The sequence below is a fragment of the Homo sapiens genome, chromosome 8 (genome assembly GCF_000001405.40).
Source record: "Homo sapiens chromosome 8, GRCh38.p14 Primary Assembly".
Classification (NCBI taxonomy): domain Eukaryota; kingdom Metazoa; phylum Chordata; class Mammalia; order Primates; family Hominidae; genus Homo; species Homo sapiens.
The window spans coordinates 76,827,133-76,846,802 of NC_000008.11; the positions used below are offsets into that span (position 1 = coordinate 76,827,133).

The 19,670-nt window shown below is 36.0% G+C and overlaps 1 protein-coding gene across 2 annotated transcripts in view, besides 1 other annotated feature; it reads left to right on the forward strand.

The window, feature by feature from the left end:
* ZFHX4 (zinc finger homeobox 4) overlaps positions 1-19,670 on the forward strand; it is a 186,035-nt gene that overhangs the window by 145,886 nt on the left and 20,479 nt on the right. For both annotated transcript variants that reach the window (NM_024721.5, NM_001410934.1), the window contains exons 5-6: positions 6,206-6,274; positions 15,523-15,639. In NM_024721.5, coding sequence (NP_078997.4) covers positions 6,206-6,274; positions 15,523-15,639 — 186 coding nt within the window. The remainder of the gene's footprint in view (positions 1-6,205; positions 6,275-15,522; positions 15,640-19,670) is intronic.
* Positions 12,185-14,975: an enhancer, noted in NCBI's record as "VISTA enhancer hs1681". NCBI's record gives its function as "enhancer in: dorsal root ganglion[5/5] | limb[4/5] | branchial arch[5/5] | trigeminal V (ganglion, cranial)[5/5] | genital tubercle[4/5] | tail[4/5]" and the evidence as "EXISTENCE:transgenic organism evidence [ECO:0001131][PMID:17130149]".

Below are 19,670 nucleotides of genomic sequence, written 5' to 3' on the forward strand. Positions count from 1 at the left end.
CAGTTTTTCCACAGACGGAGTGGTCAGGTGTAGATGGTTTGGGGATGAAACTGTTCCACCTCAGATCATCAGGCATTAGATTCTCACAAGGAGCACACGACCTAGATCCCTTGCATGTGCAGTTCATAATAGGGTTCATGCTACTGTGAGAATCTAATGCTGCCTCTAATCTGATGCGAGGTGGAGCTCAGGCGACAAGGCTTGCTTGCAGGAGCTCACCTCCTGCAGCATGGCCCGTTCCTAACAAGCCACGGACCAGGAGCGAGCCACAGCCGCAGGGTTAGGGACCCCTGCTATAAGGACTTAAATCTAGATAATTGGGCAACTGGTTGATAGATGGAAACACAAGTTTATACTGAAATTATCCTCACAAAAGGTTGATCTTTTAATTTCAAAACAATCAGAAATGAAATAGATTCTTAAATGGAGAAATACAATAGGAATTAGTAAATTTAAGAAAAAACATTTTAATAAAAGCACTTTAAAATATAAGACATTAAGAAGATGTATAAGTAATTTATTGAAACTAATTTATATCAGGAACGTATTAAATTCTTTTGAGGCCCCATTACACCGAGGTCATAGATGACTCAAGAAGCAGAAAGAAGTGATCACAAATTCCTGGCTGAGGAGGCCCCAGGAGATAGTACTCCCTTACTATATAAAAATAACTTCTGGGTAAAAACAGACAGGGCAGGGCAAAGGAGCTTTACTTTTCCAGAAAATAAAAAATTACAAATCCAGCCCCATTCAGATAATTGACACTGGAGCATCCAATGCACTTCAATCTATTACTGCCTGGAAGAAATAATTTAAGAGAAAGCACTACAGGTCAACAAAGATGATGTTGCTTGGTTACTCAAAACCATATGGTAGCATGCTGAGTTGCTCAGCTTTTTAGAAGAGCAGTCTTTGTATCCGCATAGGAAAAGGATGGAGAAGACCACTTGAAATCATTTTGAATTGTGAACTTGCTTTATCTGAACACACTGACTTGACTTTTGCAATGCCAAGACAAGTTCAGAGGGCATTGTTAAAATATCAACTACTAAGATAATAATAAATGTTGAATTTTATGTATTCTTCTAAATATTAAGCTTGTTATGATGAATTTGCTTTGAAGCGATGTGAGCTATTTTTTTTTTTTTAGGAGGAAAATAATTTAGTTTTCAGGCTGCCTGGCCCAGGAGTCCTGAGGGATGCCTAGAGGCAGTGCTGTCCAGCGGGGAGGTACAGAGCTTTGGAGTCAGACACTCATTCAAATCTCACTTCTGCTGCCCTGTGCCTTTAGAAAAAGTTAAACTGTCTGAGCTTTGATATCTCATCTCTTCCATAAACACAGTGATTTTTTGCTGTTGCAGATTACTTTGAGGATTAAGTAAGGAAATGCAGGATACATGCCTAGCACCTAACAAGTTTCCAAAAATGATCATTAGTTTATAATTAGAGCACTGCTAATATCTTTTATTGTATTCATAGGCTCTAAAATATCCTTTTACAGTTAGTCACATAGCTCCAGTAGAAGTGGGAGAAGCTTCAAAAGTAAAACACAAAAGGCATGGCTAGAGGGGTTGTGGTGTGAAGGTTGACACTTGTGAACTCTATCATAGAATTTAGTCTTTTTATGCAATTTAAAAAAAAGTAAGAGTTGGGCTTATTGTAAATGAAAATAACATGGGATTCATAATGCTGCATAGGAATACAGAAAATGTTTTTCTTCGCCTTTACTATTTTACACCAGTTGGCTTAATATTTACTCTGGTGGTATATATTTTATTTTATGTGCTAAACATTTTGTAAGAATAGTACTATACTTTATTGTTTAATGCATTAGCAAATTATTGGGAGGAGGTGAGATGTGGAGGTTTTGCAGGCAAATAGTATTAGTACTATGCTTGGCAACTTGAACATATATCCATTATTTTAAAAATTCCAGTTGCCTCTAAACTTGTGCTGAATGCATCCCAAATTTTGCCCATGGCTGTTGCAATCATCTAGTACAGGTTAAATTTATTCCGATATCTGAATCTTATAATTCTCTGCATAAATATCTAGATTGTTAAAAAATTAAAATTCCAAATATATCCCTGGCCATGAGATTTGTATGGATTATAGTTTTGCAAAATTGTTATCCCAATTAGCCGGGGCGGGGGGCGGGTAGGAGCGGAAGATTTGCCAGATGGGAACTTGATGATTTTTGAACTGAGATTAAATACCTGAAAGTTGTCAGTTTACTTACCAGAATAAATATTGCTTGTACAGGGAAGGAAAAGGTAGAAAGGAGTAATGAGTTGGAGACTCATTATGGAGAGGCTTAGGGGTAGGTGTGGCAATAAAAGGTAGTGAGAGAGAGGGCTGTGAGAACTTTCATTCTTAACGATTAAAAGGAATTGACCAGCCAGGCGCGGTGGTTCAAGCCTGTAATTCCAGCACTTTGGGAGGCCGAGGTGGGCAGATCACAAGGTCAGGAGTTCAAGACCAGTTTGGTCAACATGAAGAAACCCCATCTCTACTAAAAATACAAAAATTAGCTGGGCATGGTAGTGCGTGGCTATAATCCCAGCTACTTGTGAGGCTGGGGCAGGAGAATTGCTTCATGAACCGGGACCCAAGGAGGTGGAGGTTGCAGTGAGTCAAGATCGCGCCACTGCACTCCGGCCTGGGTTACAGAGCGAGACTCCATTTAAGGAATGGGAACCTTAAACATTTTGGCATTAATCTTGGTTTTTGTAGATGTAACCATTTGGGTTACGCTAAAGAAATAGGTGATTAGCAGAATTCAGGCCTGAACGAGAATGACAAAAATGAACGCTAGAAATAAATGCAGAATCAAAAAAAGGAAAGCTACTTTCCTTTGAAATCCATAGGATTTCAAAACTATAGTTCAATGTATCATTGTGGTTAAGAGAACTATCCCTGAAATAAAACTGTGTGGGTTCAAATCCCAGCTCCATCACTTGCTATGGGTGTCATAATGCAAATAAAGATATCATTCAGTACTTGGCACAGAGCAGATATTCTGTAAAATGTTGTTGTTGATGGCGATTGGGATGATCAATACACTATTCCACAGAAAATGATGTTGATCACTCCCACATTGTGTTAATAAAAATAGCGTAATTTGGCATAATTTTCAAATGTGTGATTATCACCAAATTGACAGGATAGAGTAGAATACTGGATAAACTAAGTCAATGGCATTTTTTAAAAATACTATTAAAACAACGAAGGTCAGGGGCTGGAGAACACAAATTAGTAATCTAATTAAATTACCAGCAAAAGAGACAAATCGTGTTAACAGCAGTCAGATTTGTTATTACAGACCAGTTATTAAAGTGACATATTGTAAGATGCTATGTATCATTACTAGGTTTTAAACATTTTCATTTTACACAGGCAGAAAAATATAGATTCATCATTTCATTTTGTAAGTCAAAAGCTCCTTTATTAAAATATTTATATTATTTGTATGAAGAGATAAACATTATTGAGGATCTAAACATTCTTTTATGAAATTATTTGTACAAGTAGCTCTCATTGGAGCAGTCTCTAAGTGCCACATGACCTAATTTGTAAGATTAAACAACAGTTGCTGATTTTGACATTTTGTACATTTCATTAAATCACTATCAAATGAAGTAACTTTAATATGGCACCAAATTATTATTTGGTTATATTTTATATTCAAGGAACATACATATGTTATGAAACAGCAGGATTTTCACAGGTCTAGAGAAAAATTGCTTTCCCCGCAACTTGGTTTCCGGCCTTTGCTAAGACTAGGAAAACCTTTACAGGCTCCCAAATATTGTGGTATTACAACTAGATACATTGAAAATTTGACAGACTTTTATACGAGACAGACAAGGGTTTCATTCCAGGCCATTGGTTTCTAACTTTGTGACCTGAGGCAAATTACTTTAACCTCTTTAAGCTCTAGCTTCTTGATTTGTAAAAGAAGGATTAATAATTGCCTCATTATGTTATTGTGAGGATTACACGATGGTTTCTATACAAATAGCTTATCACAGTACCTGGCAGAGATATGAACTCAATAATTTGTCATTTTATTTTTATTTTCATTAATCTTTAAGGAATAGCAGTTATTTGGTCAAAGTCACCTAGGTACTACTGACATTCATTTTGAACAAGTCTATATGATACGTTGAAATGTGTATGTGGGGGTAGTGGTAGAGATTTTCTGAAAAATTATGTTGATTCTTCACTAGAAAAAAGAGAAATGGTTTTTACATGCACACACATAGAGAGAGAGAGAGCAGGGAGTATTATCTGCATTTGTGTTATCTGTGGTATAGTTGACAGAGCTCTGAATTTAGAGTCCTGAAGCTCTGGGAAGCTACAAGAAAATTCTCATCTTCAGATTCATCTGTTTTAGGATATAGGATGTAGGTTAGTATTTTGTATCAAAGTGTCTTAAGTGACTGATGTCTTACTCTGTCCTTACTTGAGAATCTGTGAAATGAAAAGCTGCATTTGAACAACTCAAAATTTATCGGGGAAACATTACTTGGACCATGTAAAAATTAACACATCATGATAAGTGCTGAAACATACATGTAAGCTAATCATCATGGGTGCACAGAGGAGGTTTCACGTGCTTTTGGTTCTGAGGGAAGAATAGGAGGCTCACAGAGGAAGACCAAAAAGGTATTCAAAGTCAAAAGAACCACGTTAATCAAGGCATAACTTTATAAGAAGTTGTCAAGAGAAAAAAGGTGGACTTCTTGAGTGACATGTAGGATGTCAATTAAGGCTGTGATTTATTTGGAAGCTACTTGTGGATTTATAAGTAAAGACTGAGAATAAATTTTTTCTTTCATGATGAATTTAACATAATGGTTTTTTTAGTGGGGGGGGGCACTGAGTGTTTATTATGATTGTATTGTTTTTAAATAGATTACTACTAAAGGCCAAAGGTTTTATACGCAGCAGGAAAGACAATTAGTAAATGCAATAATAGTGCCTTGGTATGCACTTCTATTTTCCAGGTTAATTGTTTGTTTAATTAAAGCCTTCAGAATCAACCAGAGATGCTATTGCTAGAAATAGTAAATAAACATGATTTCCTTTGGCAGTTAAGAATTATGTGACCATTTTTTTTAACTTCTTGATAACAATCTGGTCTTTTCAGACTTTAAAGACTATATCATGTTACACCTTTAGTTGTATTATTTTCTATTACTGTTACTATTTACATAATTCTATCTTCATTTTATGCATGAGGGGCTTGAGGTTTAGCGAGGCTAAGTAATTCACCCATACCTAGAAGTGATGGCGAAATGATTTGTACTCAAGATTCTATTTTCTAAAAAGATGACTCCTGAGATTTTATGAGGGATTGGATTGGAAAGACAGGGAATTTGAGGCATATAGACTATTACAGAGGCTGCTGAAACGGTCAGGAAAGAGAAGAAGACAGAGGGAATAGAGAGCACCCATGATAAGAGACTTGGTAAAATGGAATCAACAGCAGGTGGTGACTTGCTGTGGAGAAGGAATGAGATGTCGAAGGAAATTTCTGAGGTCTAGTTGTTTTGTTTATTCCATAGGTTCCCCTACAATAGAGTGCAAAAAGGAATCACGCAGTTAGTTGACAATAATGACTTGTGTTTGGTGTTGAGTTTTGTAAACCAAGACATTGTTGGCACTTTTGCTCTAAAGCTCAAATGAAAGATGAGAATAAAGATGTGGATTTGCTGATGACTTGGACTTATTCTTCAGGTGCCCCCTCCAGTGCCTGATGTTTGCTTTGGCACATCAGCTATCATATACAGTAATGATATTTTTTCTTTTCTTTTTGGTAACTTATCAGAGAAGTAAAAGTATGCTCATAATTTATGTAATGTGCTATTGTCACTATAACACATAATCCTATAACATATAGGCTTGGCCAAATAGTCCAATGACAAAAATCATGATGAGCCTTTCCTGCTCCCATATTTTCTCTATCAGTGTGTTTGTTCTGTGCTGCTAATACTTAAGAATTAAATCTAATCCTATCACTCCCTGGGCTCATTTTGCCAGCTGCTGCTCACTAGGATATAATGTGTGCTGGAGACTCACCTGAGCTTCACCTGATACTTATCTCTCCTGACTGCCAAATTTTGGGTTCTTGTAATATTAGCCATGATGAGAGAGCTGGATATGGCATGCTGATTACCTTTCACTCTGATGTCTTCTGCAGAAACTGCCTCATTGGGAGCCAGGACTTGTGATGATGATCTTACAGAGCAGCAGTTGAGATCGACCTCAGGTAATGGTTCCTACTCCTTCTCAAAATATTTCCTTGTCCTAAATGAGTTGCTTTTGTTACTCTCATAATTGATGGAATAAACATTCTCTGGAACTTCTCTAATTAGATCTGATCATATGCCTTATTCAAATAAGTAAAAAGCAAAATGAAATAAATTCAATAATTGGAAGTATATGTAAATTGACTTTACATTTTAGAGCAGTTTTAGGTTCACAGCAAATTTCCCCAATACCCTCTCCCCTGACACATGTATAGCCTCCTTCATTATCACTGCCCTCCCCACCAGAGTGGTACACTTGTTCAGTGATGAATCTATATTGACACAACATTATCACTTGAAGACTGTAGTTTTCATTAGGGATTACTCTTGGTGTTGTACATTTTATGGGTGTGGACAAAAGCATAGTGACATGGATCCATCGTTATAATATCATATAGAACAGTTTCACTTCTCTATAAATCTTCTGTGCCAGTCTATTCATTGTTTCCACCTCCTTGACCCCTGTAAACCAGTGATCCTTTATGGTCTCTATAGTTTGACTTTTTCCAGAATGTCATATAGTTGGAATCAAACAGTATGTAGTTTTTTTTAGATTGGTTTCATTCACTTAGTAATATGCATTTAAGTTTTCTCTATGTCTTTACATGGCTTGATAGTTTATTTCCTTTTAGTGCTGAATAATATATATATATCATTGTCTTCATATGTCACAGCTTATTTATCCACCTACTGAGAACATCTTGGTTGATTCCAAGTTTTGGCAATTACGAATAAAACTACTATGAGCATCGGTGTCCAGGCTTTTGTGTGGACATAAATTTTCAACTCCCTTTGATAAATGCCAAGGAGTACAATTACTAGATTGTATGATAAGAGCATGTTTAGTTTTGTAAAAACCACCAAACTGTCTTCCAAAGTGGTTGTACCATTTTGCATTCCCACCAGCGATGAATGAGAGTTCCTGTTGCCCCACATCATCACCAGCATTTGATGTTGTCAGTGTTCTGGATTTTGGCCATTTTCATAGGTGTGTAGTTGTATCTCATTGTTGTTTTTATTTGCATTTCCCTGATGACATGTGATGTGGATTTTTTCATACATGTAATCTTTCATATGCCTATTTGCCATCTGTGTATCTTCTTTGGTGTGGTGTCTGTTAAGGTCTTTGGCCAATTTTTTAATTGAATTGTTTATTTGCTTGTAAGAGTTGTAAGAGTTCTTTGTATATTTCAGATGACAGTCTTTATCAGATATGTATTTTCCAAATCTTTCCTTCCTGTCTGTGGCTTGTCTCATTATTTTCCAACAGTATCTTTCAAAGAGCAAAAATTTTAATTTTAATGAAATCCAACTTATCAATTCTTTCTTTCATAGATTATGCCTTTAGTGTGGTATCTAAAAAATTGTTGCCAAACCCAAAGTCATCCAGATTTTCCCTTATGTTATCTTCTAGGAGTTTTATAGTTTTGTGTTTTGCAGTTAGGTCTGTAACCCATTTTGAGTGAATGTTTCTGAAGGATATAAGGTTTGTGTCTGGACTCTTTTTTTTTTCTTTTTTGTGGATGTTTGTAGCTTCTTAAAGAATAAGTTAAAACTTCTGCTAATAATTTTTCACATCGATATTTATGCACTATGAAACTTCACCTAAATTATAGGTTTTATACAAAGTATATATTAATAAGCTGGATATTATTTTTCACAAGTCAAAGAGCCTAGTTGATGGAGTTATTTTTGGTAATTATTGAATTCATTGGATTTTGTATAGTTATGTCAACATATCCTCTAATCCTTTTGCTTTGGTGTATATATATGTATATATATATATATATATATGTATATATATATATATATATTCATACATATATTTGTTAAAAATGGCAGTTACACCTTCTTAGCTGCATTATATTCAGATAATTTAAAAGGAAATTCACTCCTACTACTACAACACAGCTCATTTATTTCTGCTATATATTTCTGCTATATAAATATGACCCCAGTTTCCAGATTTATCCAGCTGGAATAATAACCTGCTATATAGAACAATAAATGATTACCAAAGTCCTTTGCATTCACAATGGTATATTGGAATACTTAAAATAAAAACAATTTTGCAAGTGAAAACATCCCTTCCATATAAAGTCAGGACATTCCTCATAAAAAATTCCAGCTTCAAAGTTAAGTTTACGTTTACCTATGCATGTCTCATCAATACTTTTTAAAATCTTATTTTCTCCTAAAAATCTAGAGAACATATTTAATATGAAATAGAATAAACCTACTCTCCCTCCCCCACCTCAAACCAATGAAAAGATTTCATTAATGACCCAGCAGTGATATGGCAAAAATCAAGAGTTATGGCAAACATTTCAAGCTAAAAACAGATTACTTCCTGTCAATATATTTCTTTATTGCTTTGTAAACAAAGACATCAAAATCTACATTATTGCTTCAATCTGTCTGAGAATCTTTGGACTTAGATATTCCCATACCTTCTGGATGTTTTCATCTAGATGTTCTGTAGTGAGGCTAAATACAACAAATTCCAAATTGAACTTTCTTTTCTGCAAAACTACTTGTTCTCCTCTTTTCTCCATCTCAATTGATGACATCACACCGTAGACTTAGTTGCACAAATAGTCAAATTAGAAATCATCAGTTTTATTTAAAATATTAGTGAGTATCTTCTATGTGCCAGAGACTGGGGAGCATATATTGTGAATAAGACAGATGAAGTCCCTCACTTTAGATAATATCTCTAAACAAATAAACAAAAAAGTATTTTCAGATTGCAATAAATGTGATAAAGGAAGTGTTAAAGAGGTGATATGTTAGAGCAGAGGTTCTCAAAGTGTGGTCCCCTTTCAAACAGCATCAGTGCAACCAAGGAACTTGTAAGAATGCAAATTACTGAGCCCCAACCCAGACCTACTGAATCAGAGACACTGGAGTTGAAATCCAGCAAGCCCCTCAGGTGGTAGTGATTCTGCTAAAATCTGAGGACCTTACTTGTGTGACAGCTCATCAGCTACTTTAGGAGCGGTAGTCAGAGAAGTTCTCTGAGGAAATGACAAGTGAGCCGAGTCCTGGTTAATGAAAAGGAGCCAATTATGCAGAGTCTGCGAAAATGTACGTCAGAGTTTGGAAAAAATTGGTCCCATTCCAGGAAGAGAAAGAAAGCTAACATGGAGAAAGATGAGGGAGTGAGGAGGAGTGTAGCATAACATGCAGCCAGAAAAGTAGGCAAGGGCTTAATTGTTTCAGCCTAGTAAGGAGTTGTTATGTTATTGTAAGTGAAATAGTAAGCTATGACAAGGTTCAAGCAGAAGAATGGATTGATTTTATTTAGTTGTGCAGAATAAATTAAAGGAACACAAGAATAAGTCTTATCTAGTTATAAGACCATTGCAGGAATATAGGTAAGAGATTAAAGGTACTGGCAGGGAAAATGTAAAGTAGATGGATTCAGTATACATTAAGTATCTTGGAAGTAGAAATAGTATGATTTACTGATGGATAGGATGCATATGAATGGGAAAGAGAAGACTAAGGGATGACTCTTGCTTGTGCTGGGTGGTGGTATTGTTAATGGCAATGGTAAAGTTGGGGAAATGGAGTAAGATGTGTTGAGGAGCATCAAGAGCTCTGATTTTGGCATACTAAACTAGATAGACTTTTTGGACATCCAGTACAGTTACAAAATATAAAGCCATGATTCTGGATGAGATCGTCTAGGGAGGTAATGTAGATAGAGAAAGGGCTTAGTACTAATACTGGAGACACTCAAGTATTTAGTTGTTTAATAGAGGAGGCCCCAGCAGAGGAGAATAAGAGGAAATTCTCAGAAAGGCAGGATGAAAATCACAATTACCTGGTGCAATAAAATCCAAAGAGAGGCACGATTTTCCAGAAGAAGGGAAGAGTAACATCGGTCGAGCAAAGGAAGTGAAGTAAGATGCAGAGAAGTAACCACTGAACTTAGCATGGGAGTCACTGGTGACTTTGAGAGGAGGAATTAATATGAACAGAAACCAGACTGGAGAGGGTTGAATAATAAATATGATTTGGTAAAGAGGGAAATGCAAAAAGAAAAAAAAAAAAAACCAAAGCCAGACTACCAAGACAAAATCAAACACCCCTTTTACATTTTATTAAAGGGAAATAGGGGCTGGGGTAGCATGTGGACTCTTCCTTTTCTTTCCCAAATTTTGCTTTCTAAACCCAATTCACTGTTCCAACTAACATGTATTGCCTACCTACTGTATTCCAGGCACTGTTCCAGCTGCTTTTGGCACAAAGATGGATAAGATATTCACTATTTTCAAAAAATGTTTACCTATTACAGCAAGTAGGCAATATACAGATAATTTCCACAAATTAAATTGTGGTGAATGGTTTAACATCAATATACAGGTGGGGGGAAAATAGCATTTATCCAGAAACACTAATCCTAGTTCAGGGTTCAGAGAAGACTTTTTAGAGAAAAAAACAATAGTACTCAATAGTACTAGTAATAATGCAGCTATGATTTTTAATATTTATTTTTACTAAGCTTGTGCTCACCAATTTGTGTATGTTATTCCATAACAAACCTATGAGATAATTATTATTAACTCCGTTTTCATAGATGTTGAAACTGATATTTCCCAAGATGATTTGAAGGAAAAGTGGAATTTACACAGTGAAGAAAAGTTGTTCTAAATAAGATAAGGAAATGTAATGGTACATATAGGAAGGGAGAAAGCACTACAAACAGTTGGGTTTCTTGAACGGTGGTTACAAAATGTGAGCTGGACCAGGAACATCGGGCATTACCTGGAAACTCAACAGAGAGGCAAATTCTCAGGTTCAGCTCTAGACCTACGACATTATAACCTTTCAAGATGGGGTCCAGTAACAGGTCTATTGGGTGAATGTGACACTCTAAAGTGTAAGAAGACTGTTCCCAAGCACTAAGTGTTATGTAGGAAGTGAACAAAGATGAAACTGGAGTGACAGACAAGGACCAGGTATCTTGGACATAATCTCGCTATGTACAGAAGGTTGAGTTATTTCTTTGTAAGTGATAGGAGTCACTGGAAGATTTTAAGTGGGGAAGTCAGATTTAAGTAGATCATTAGGAGGATAGATTTGAGTGGGGCATGATTGGGCAAGGAGATCATGGAGGAGTCTAGGAAAGAATGCTCACGAGCCAGGTGTCTTGTACAGAGATACTCAATATGTTAATATAAAACTAAAGATGTCTAAGTTACTGTGTTTCCTCTTTATATGATCACTTCATGGGTTGAAAAAGTATGAAATGCTTTCGTAGCAGACTTAGAGGAGAGGGATCCCAAACCCAATTGTATGTTAAGACAATGGGAAATAAGGGCCAGGCACGGTGGCTCATGCCTATAATCCCAGCACTTTGAAAGGCTGAGTTGGCGGATCACTTGAGGCCAGGAGTTTGAAACCAGCCTGGCCAACATGAGGAGACCTCGTCTCTACTAAAAATATAAAAATTAGCTGGATATGGTGGTGCATGCCTGTGGTCCCAGCCACTTGGGAGGCTGAGGTGGGAGGATTGCTTGAACCCAGGAGACAGAAGTTGCATGAGCCGAGAGTGCCACTGCATTCCAGGCTGAGCAACAGAGTGGGACTCTGTCTGAAAGAGAGAGAGAGAGAGAGAGAGAGAGAGAGAGAGAGAGAGAGAGAGAAGGACAATGGGAAATAAGTACAATTGGGTGGTACTTAGATCAAAGGGATACCACTGATGTACATTTGCTTAGAAATTGTATAATGTTGTAGGATAAACTCATATCAGTTTTCCAATTGTTTCTTATTGTTCAAATGAAAATACTCTAAGCTAGTCATTCAAAAACACTTATTTTAAATATAGCCAATGTGTATATGTAGAGTAACTTATAAGATCATTTTAGACATGTCAAAAATGCTAGGGGAAGTTTGTTGTAACATTTCTATAAGACTACAGTATTTTGCCTTCTTTCTATTATTTTGAAACATGTAAAAATGAATATGTATTATCATTTGTCTGAAAATTGGGATGTTCAAATGGACCTTGATATACATGGTAAGCTTAAGTATAAACATATCATAAAGATTAATATAGAAATATTGTATTTTCTGTATTTCATGAGGCAAAAGAATAAAATGCATGTGGCATATCCATATGCTGTATACATGTATACTTCTACTGAATACAACAGTATCATGAAATGATTTAATACTTTCACTATTATTGCATGTAATATATTAGTGAAGAGGCTTATTGATGAAAATGAAAACCGCTTTGGCATCTTTATTTTGGAATTTTATGTAGTATATTTTCCTCAGTTCTACAGTATCTATTTAGTACATTTAGTTTTATATATATATTTCCCTTACATTTCATAGTATTTTACAACTGAGGATACGTGGTGCTTGAAAGTTAGAACGTAGCCACTCCTTCCCTTAACCCGAGTTCTAACCTACAGGGTTTCCAGAGAAAGTGGTTTCTCCACATTCATACTCTTGACTCTAAAGTCTATTTATACAATGAATGTCAAATTTATTTCTAAAACCCTCTTTGAGAATAAAAGTGCCCTTTTATTCTGACTTATATGAAACTTTATGGTGTGTATAAGTTACCTTTTGATTATTTTTTGCATGATTAAAAATTTGCAAATTCTTATGGCTCCAAAGAGCCTACCTGTAATAAACAGCTTTCCCCTTCTAAACCACAAAACAGATCTGAATTGCTTGAGCATTAGAGCTAATTGCCTGCCTACTTCAAAGGAAGAACCTGAAAAGAGAGAGGGGAAAAAAGTCACAGAAGCAGAGGCATTGCAGGCAAATCCACCTCTAAAGGTTATGAGTTGTGGCTTGGAGGAGCCAGGCAGTTATGGCCTCAGAACTGCTGTTTGCGATTAAGTTGATGGGGAGCGTCTATCCCACAATCTTTCCCTGCTGCTGACACAGAGTCTTTGTTCACATTCAGATTTCTCAAACTGTTGCCAGGGTCAGGCTGAGGTCAGACACCACAGTGATGTATAGAAGAACATGTCTGGGAATTTCTCTCACACTTAAAACACATACCAGAAAATGAAGAAGAGGACCCTGCAAAATCTCTCTGATGAGACCCAGATTATATACTGTAGCTTTTCTTTTAGTGCCTTCATAATTTTCTTTTTCTTCTCCTGACACACAATGTTTTATTAGTGTGAGTTGCCATAGCCCTTACAATTTTATGTACCCCCAAGATAAGGACACTCAGTAGCACTCTGACACTTTATTTTCCAGCCCTGGGGGAAAGGCCCAGTAAATCTACTCCAAGAATTCCTGCATCCCTTCCCCGGGATGAGTTGAAAAGTAATTGCCACAGCTGTCATAGGTCGCGAACTAGAGATCATGTCACATGTGTGGACTTGGGAGGGACACAGCCCAATCCAGTTGATCTCAGCCCTCCAGCCTCCCAAATCCAGCTTGGCCACCAGCCACTTTACCTACCAGCGTGGCCTGGTGCTGGGAGGAGGGAGCCTGTGTTTGATCAGTAATTATCACTGACGGGTGAAAGCAGGCTAGCGCCAGAAGAGGTGTTGTTTCTTTCTCTTCTTGAAGTTAAATTTCTGAGTGTATTTGCCTGAAAGGGAAGCTTCCCTCAAACCCTCAGATGATTGACCCCCTAAACAAGGGCCATCCCTCTGCTTTTGTGCAGAGGCAAAGGGCAAAAATGGAATAAATGGATTTGTATGGTGCCTTTGAGGACTCACAGTTGAAACAAACTCTTATTTTGAATGTATTAAATGTCCTTGTTTTCCCTTTAGCTTTTTAGAGTTTCCTATTGAGCCCAGAACTGTCCCCTTCTGTTGTTATCCTGCTCACACAGTTGTAGAGCATGGCTGGCAAGTGAGGCACTAAATAGATTTTTTTTTGGTGCTCAGCTGCTACATATGACAGTGGATATTTCATTCTGCTGTCAGAACGTTATTAATAAAACATGGGGGGTGGAGAGGGCCACGATTTCCCCTTTCAATCACTATAGCATTTGCAATGAAAATTTTATTCAGTGTGTAATTTTCAGTTAATGCTTGACACTTAAAATGTCCATAGCAGCGTTTTGTATGGTTATTGAAGGGTTAATTGTATCATGTTCTCTGCATAAAAGCTCTGCTTATCAAAAGCAAATAGAAGAGTGTATGCAAATGTGTGTCGGTGACCTTTTGCCTTTCCAGGGTTAATTTATATGGTCATTAAAGATTTTATGAAATTGAGCCTGGTGCTTCAAATCCCATTTTACCTTCTTATCCTAATTTATGTAATTCCTACCTGAACAGGGGAATATGATTTTTATTTTTTGTGCTGCAATGAAAACAGCATGCCATGCTGTGGGGAGTTGCGAGCCTGGTTATCTGGCATTACTCAGATTGCCAAAAATTCATTAAAATGTGACATCAGCACAGTGAGAGACAAATGATCGCAGGATGAAAGAGAACAGTGGGCCTTTCACGGATTAGTGCTACACAGCCCCAGCATAGAGGCTAACTGCATAAACAGATTAATCCACCAGCAGTGGCATAGCTAAGATTTACAGAATAATTAAATAGGGTTGAGTTACTATGAGGATTTCCATGTAATCTAGCTGGTGTGAACCCGTGAATGAGGTGTGGGGTGATGTGGTTGTCATAGAAGTATACCTTGTTATATCCTGCACCCAGTATAGCTCCCTCTACAGAAGAAAAAAAAAATCCCCAATGTAACTGAAGTTTTGAGATCTTACTCTAAGAAAATGCCAAAGAATTCCTTTGGGGTCTGGGGTCTGAAAGCTGGAGTAACACCTGTCTTATATAACCGTTGTTATATTATTTAAGATTTTTTTTCTAAGAATCTGTTTTCTTTTTCCTGACATCTATCCCAGTCTATGGAACAGTAGGTTTATGTTGTTACAAGGTTCTACTATTCGAATCACAGAATTGCCTTATACCCAATTTTTAAATATGTTTCAGCTTAAACTGTACTAAAAAGAATTTATTTTAATTTAGTATAGACCCATCCTCTCAATGGATACAAAAGAAGATCCTTTAGATACAAAATTTGCATTGGTACAGTCAGCATGATCAGCATAGACTTTTGCATAAATTTGTGTTCTCATTTGAGTATGAATATCTGCAGATGATTCATAAATAACAAAGTTTTCAAGTGGCCACCTAGTTTATTTCAGTGTGAACTTTTGGGCGGTTTTCAGTTCTACTGATTGGTCTGCCTTTCTTAACAGAAGAACAAAGTGAGGAGGCAGAAGGAGCTATTAAGCCTACAGCAGTGGCCGAGGACGATGAAAAAGACACAAGTGAGAGAGACAATAGTGAAGGCAAAAACTCTAATAAAGACTCTGGTAAGATGCAAGAATCTTTCACCTCGGCATTTCCCTATACCCATTCCCTGCCATCAACTCTTCCTTCACCATCCCCCCACCCCACAAAACTTATTAAAAGCTTTTATTCATTTTAAACTGTCTGAACATTCCCACTACTATTCATTGCATGTGCATTTTGCATGTGATTTCTATCAGTAGCCTCCCATTGACCTATTTTTAATCATAACCATCTGACAGAATAGATGTGGATAAGTTGAAGAATATTACAGGACGACCAGTGAGATTATTTTTTAATCAAATCAGTTTGTGTGCTTGTAATTTTTTAAGCGCCTTTCATTAATCTTAGCTATACTTGTGATTCCTCTGATGGCATATTAATTTTTCATAAGCATAGGATTAGATATCACTTGAATTTTGTCATTCAGTCACATGTATTCGCCCGCCAAACCACGTAACCCTAAAAATAAATGCAGTTTTCCTTGCTTTTTTACAACTTACACTCAGGAATTTGCCCTTTTTTAGGGCATCTATTTGAGGTATTTCAAACAAAATCCAGTGAAAAAGTTTACAGATGATTCAGCCTAAGAAAGAGGAAATATCATTGAAAAGGGATTAGGTGCTGGGTAATTTTGATCTTCTAGAATAGACAAATCCCAGTAATGAAAGCTACTGTCTTTGAAAACAAACCTTCGTGTCATGACATTTACTTGTGCACAAACAAACCCTAGGCCAGCATCTGGTGTGGATACCTAAGGCTTTTTCTGTGTTTGATTTGGCAAATATATGACTTCATCCATGCTTTGTATGTATGAGATGGAAATCTATGGTTGCAATGAATATTACATTGGCTACTTTTGCTGCACGCTATACCTCGTTTTATTATGTTGGACTCATTGAAGCAGAAGAAGTGCTGAAACGGGTTCAAGCCTATTAGTTTCAGGTAGTCATCTATCTTTTCCTTGAATTCTAGTGACAGCCACATATAAAGGAGTTTGTATTCACTATGAAGACATTGGGTTGTGCAAAAAATATCATTTTTACATGCAAGTTTATTTAAACCTGAATCATCCCACGTTTGTACTTCAGTCTTTGCATATCTAAGTTTTTCATTCCCTTTAAAAATTATCTGAAGGGCCTCTCTGCACCCCTCCCCACACTGTTCAGTACTAAATTTCTTTCAGGAGGCCAGTGAGAAAAGCGTCACTGAGATTTGCTCCTAGGATATACTGTCTAACATGTGATTCTAATTTGACTTAAACAAAGAAGATCTAAGGTTGGTATTAAGCCGCAAGCAATGTAAAAAGAAGCCATAGCTGTATATTAGTAAGCTGGCTCCTGAAGTTACTGAGGAGGAATTAGAAGTACCTAGTGATAAGTTAATATGAAAGACAGTACCATCTAAACTTTATTTGGAAAAGATTGGAAATAGCAAGGTGGTTTGTTCACTTTCTATGATGGACCTTATCAAATTAGCTGCTTGCCTGGTTCAGAGAGGGCAAGGTTCTGTCTGTATTCAGTGGCATCTTTCACATAGTAGTACCAAAACAGATTGTGGAATATATCCTTCCCATTCTTCAGAAGAATGTATAACAGAGATATCTGATTTGTGTTAATTCAATGCCCATGTAATCCCGAGGTATATGACATTATGCCAGGTCTCAAATGTCTAATATCTAGTACCTTGTAAAGGATGGATTCTGGGAATCTCTAGAAAAATGGATCTAATTTTACCATTGAGGAAAGAATCTGGCTTGGAACATAGCACAGATGCCAAGGCTCTATCTTTACCAGTGCCACTTACTGCTCCGCAAAAGTAGTGGACTCAATCACTCCCTAATGGGCTGATGAATTACTATTCTTCCTTGGGCACCTAATTGTACCATCCAGACAAGACTTGGGCATTTGAGAGGATATAGACAATAGTATAATGGTAGTTATTTAAAACAAATTGTATCCCCATATAAATGCCTTCCTGGGTTTTTCTGTAGGGATAAAAAATAAGCTCTAGGCAAGGACCAACTAAAAGCAGTTGCTGAAATGCAAATATTTATCTTTAAAACCTTCTAGCCTTCAAGACAGCTCTTGTGATTGACAACTAACATGAACATTTAACAAAGTTTTCTGCCTTCTGAATTGAATGTTTTTAGGTTTAAAATATTATTACATGGATTTTCTCTTGTATGTATTTCTAATGATTGAATAACCACTTACATTTATTGTTTTTCTCTATATGTGTCATAAATGTAAAAAAAATACTAGCAAGCTTACAAATTCATCACTATCTTCATACGTTAGATGGGAAGTAGTTTGACCCAACTTTAACATAGAATTTTTTAGACAAGAAGGAATTAACATATGTTAGGAAGGCTATGTTTGTGTAAGCTGTTGTGCTATGTTGCTGACATTAATCTGCAGGAGTAGAGCTTTCAAAATGAGACGTGGCAATATGCAAGTTATATTTGTTGAATATTCATTCATAATAGAAAAGCCTTCTAATGCTTCATTTATATTGTCATTTAAATCTAGTGCCACTTTAGATTAATTATAATCCAAATTATAGCCCTGTGCAGTACAAGAATTAATACAGAGTTTATCCAGATTAATACATTTGCATTGAAAATGTAATATGTCTCTGCCTTGGCTAAGGGGACCACTTTTTAATAAGGGAGTAAACATGAGGAAAGATGGAAATTAACCTTCATTATTGCAATTAAAATTATCCTTTCATTCTAGTCTCATTAGAAAGAATACTGTACTGGTAATTATAATTTATAATTATTTGGAGTTGAATAACATCTGTTATATCCAAGTTTTATAGTATTCAAACTTTATTAAATACATTGACTCATTAATAATAACTCAGTACTTTTATTTTTTTATTAAGATTTGCTTTGAGTACATGTGCGTTATTGGATTTTTCTTACTTGTTATGAGTATAAACCGTTTACAGCCTTCTGTATTTTAGGGATTGAAAATTATTAAGAAGGCGGCATCTGCATTGAAATGAATTATGTCATTTTTTATATTAGCAATCTCATGCAAGTTAAATAATCCCATAACTGACAGATAATCATTTTTTTCATCTATTTGGCAGTGCTTATTTGTAATTAGACTTCATTTTTTAGTTAAAATGAATGAAAATGACATTTTTTTTGAGGATATTGTGTTGTCCTCAATAACACAAAATAAATTATGATCCTATTTTAAAATTTTCTGATCTAGGGTAATCAACAGGGTTTACTTCAAATAAAGTGGCAGGCATAAACTATAAGCAATCATAAAACTTAAAACCTTCCTCAAATTAATTGACCCTTATTTAATAGGCATTTCCAGGATAATACAACTTAGAAAAGAGACCCCAGAGTTAATTTTCTATAATTTACCAGGGATGCCATAATATGAAACCTAAGATAGTATCCCTTTGAGTAAGAAAGGCATACACGCATAGAATGTAACATCCTTCATCTTTACAAATAATCCTGATGACTTGCCTCATCCTCCAGAGTCTGTTTTGTCATGTTACCACATCTCAATATTCTCTACTTCCTCTTACTATCAGTGCCATGCATTTTTGACGTACCTAGCTAATGTTAGATGTTCTAGCTTTTATTTATAACTTCTTGGTAATTTCAAACAAAATGGTCTTTAGGAGGCTCCTGGCTTATATTAAGATTATGGTTTAAGTTAATTAGCCAGAAAAATTTTGAGGGTGACGCATAACTGTATTGAATACTATAGCCAACAGTTGTTGCAACGGCCATGTGATAGTGACCCTAAAACTTAACTCTTACTTTTTTGATACAGCATAGAACATCACTAAATTCAAAAGCAATTATATTTTTGATGAATATTAATAAGCATAAAAATAAAATAAATATATTCTTAATATACATGGTATTAATTATACATTATGCACACCAGTGTGTAGGTTTAGTAAAATGTTCCAGATCTTGAAATCAATACATTTTTTGATCCCTGACAGTCTCAATATAAGAATAAAATACACATTATATATGCTTATGGAAATGAGTCCATAGCTATACATTTAA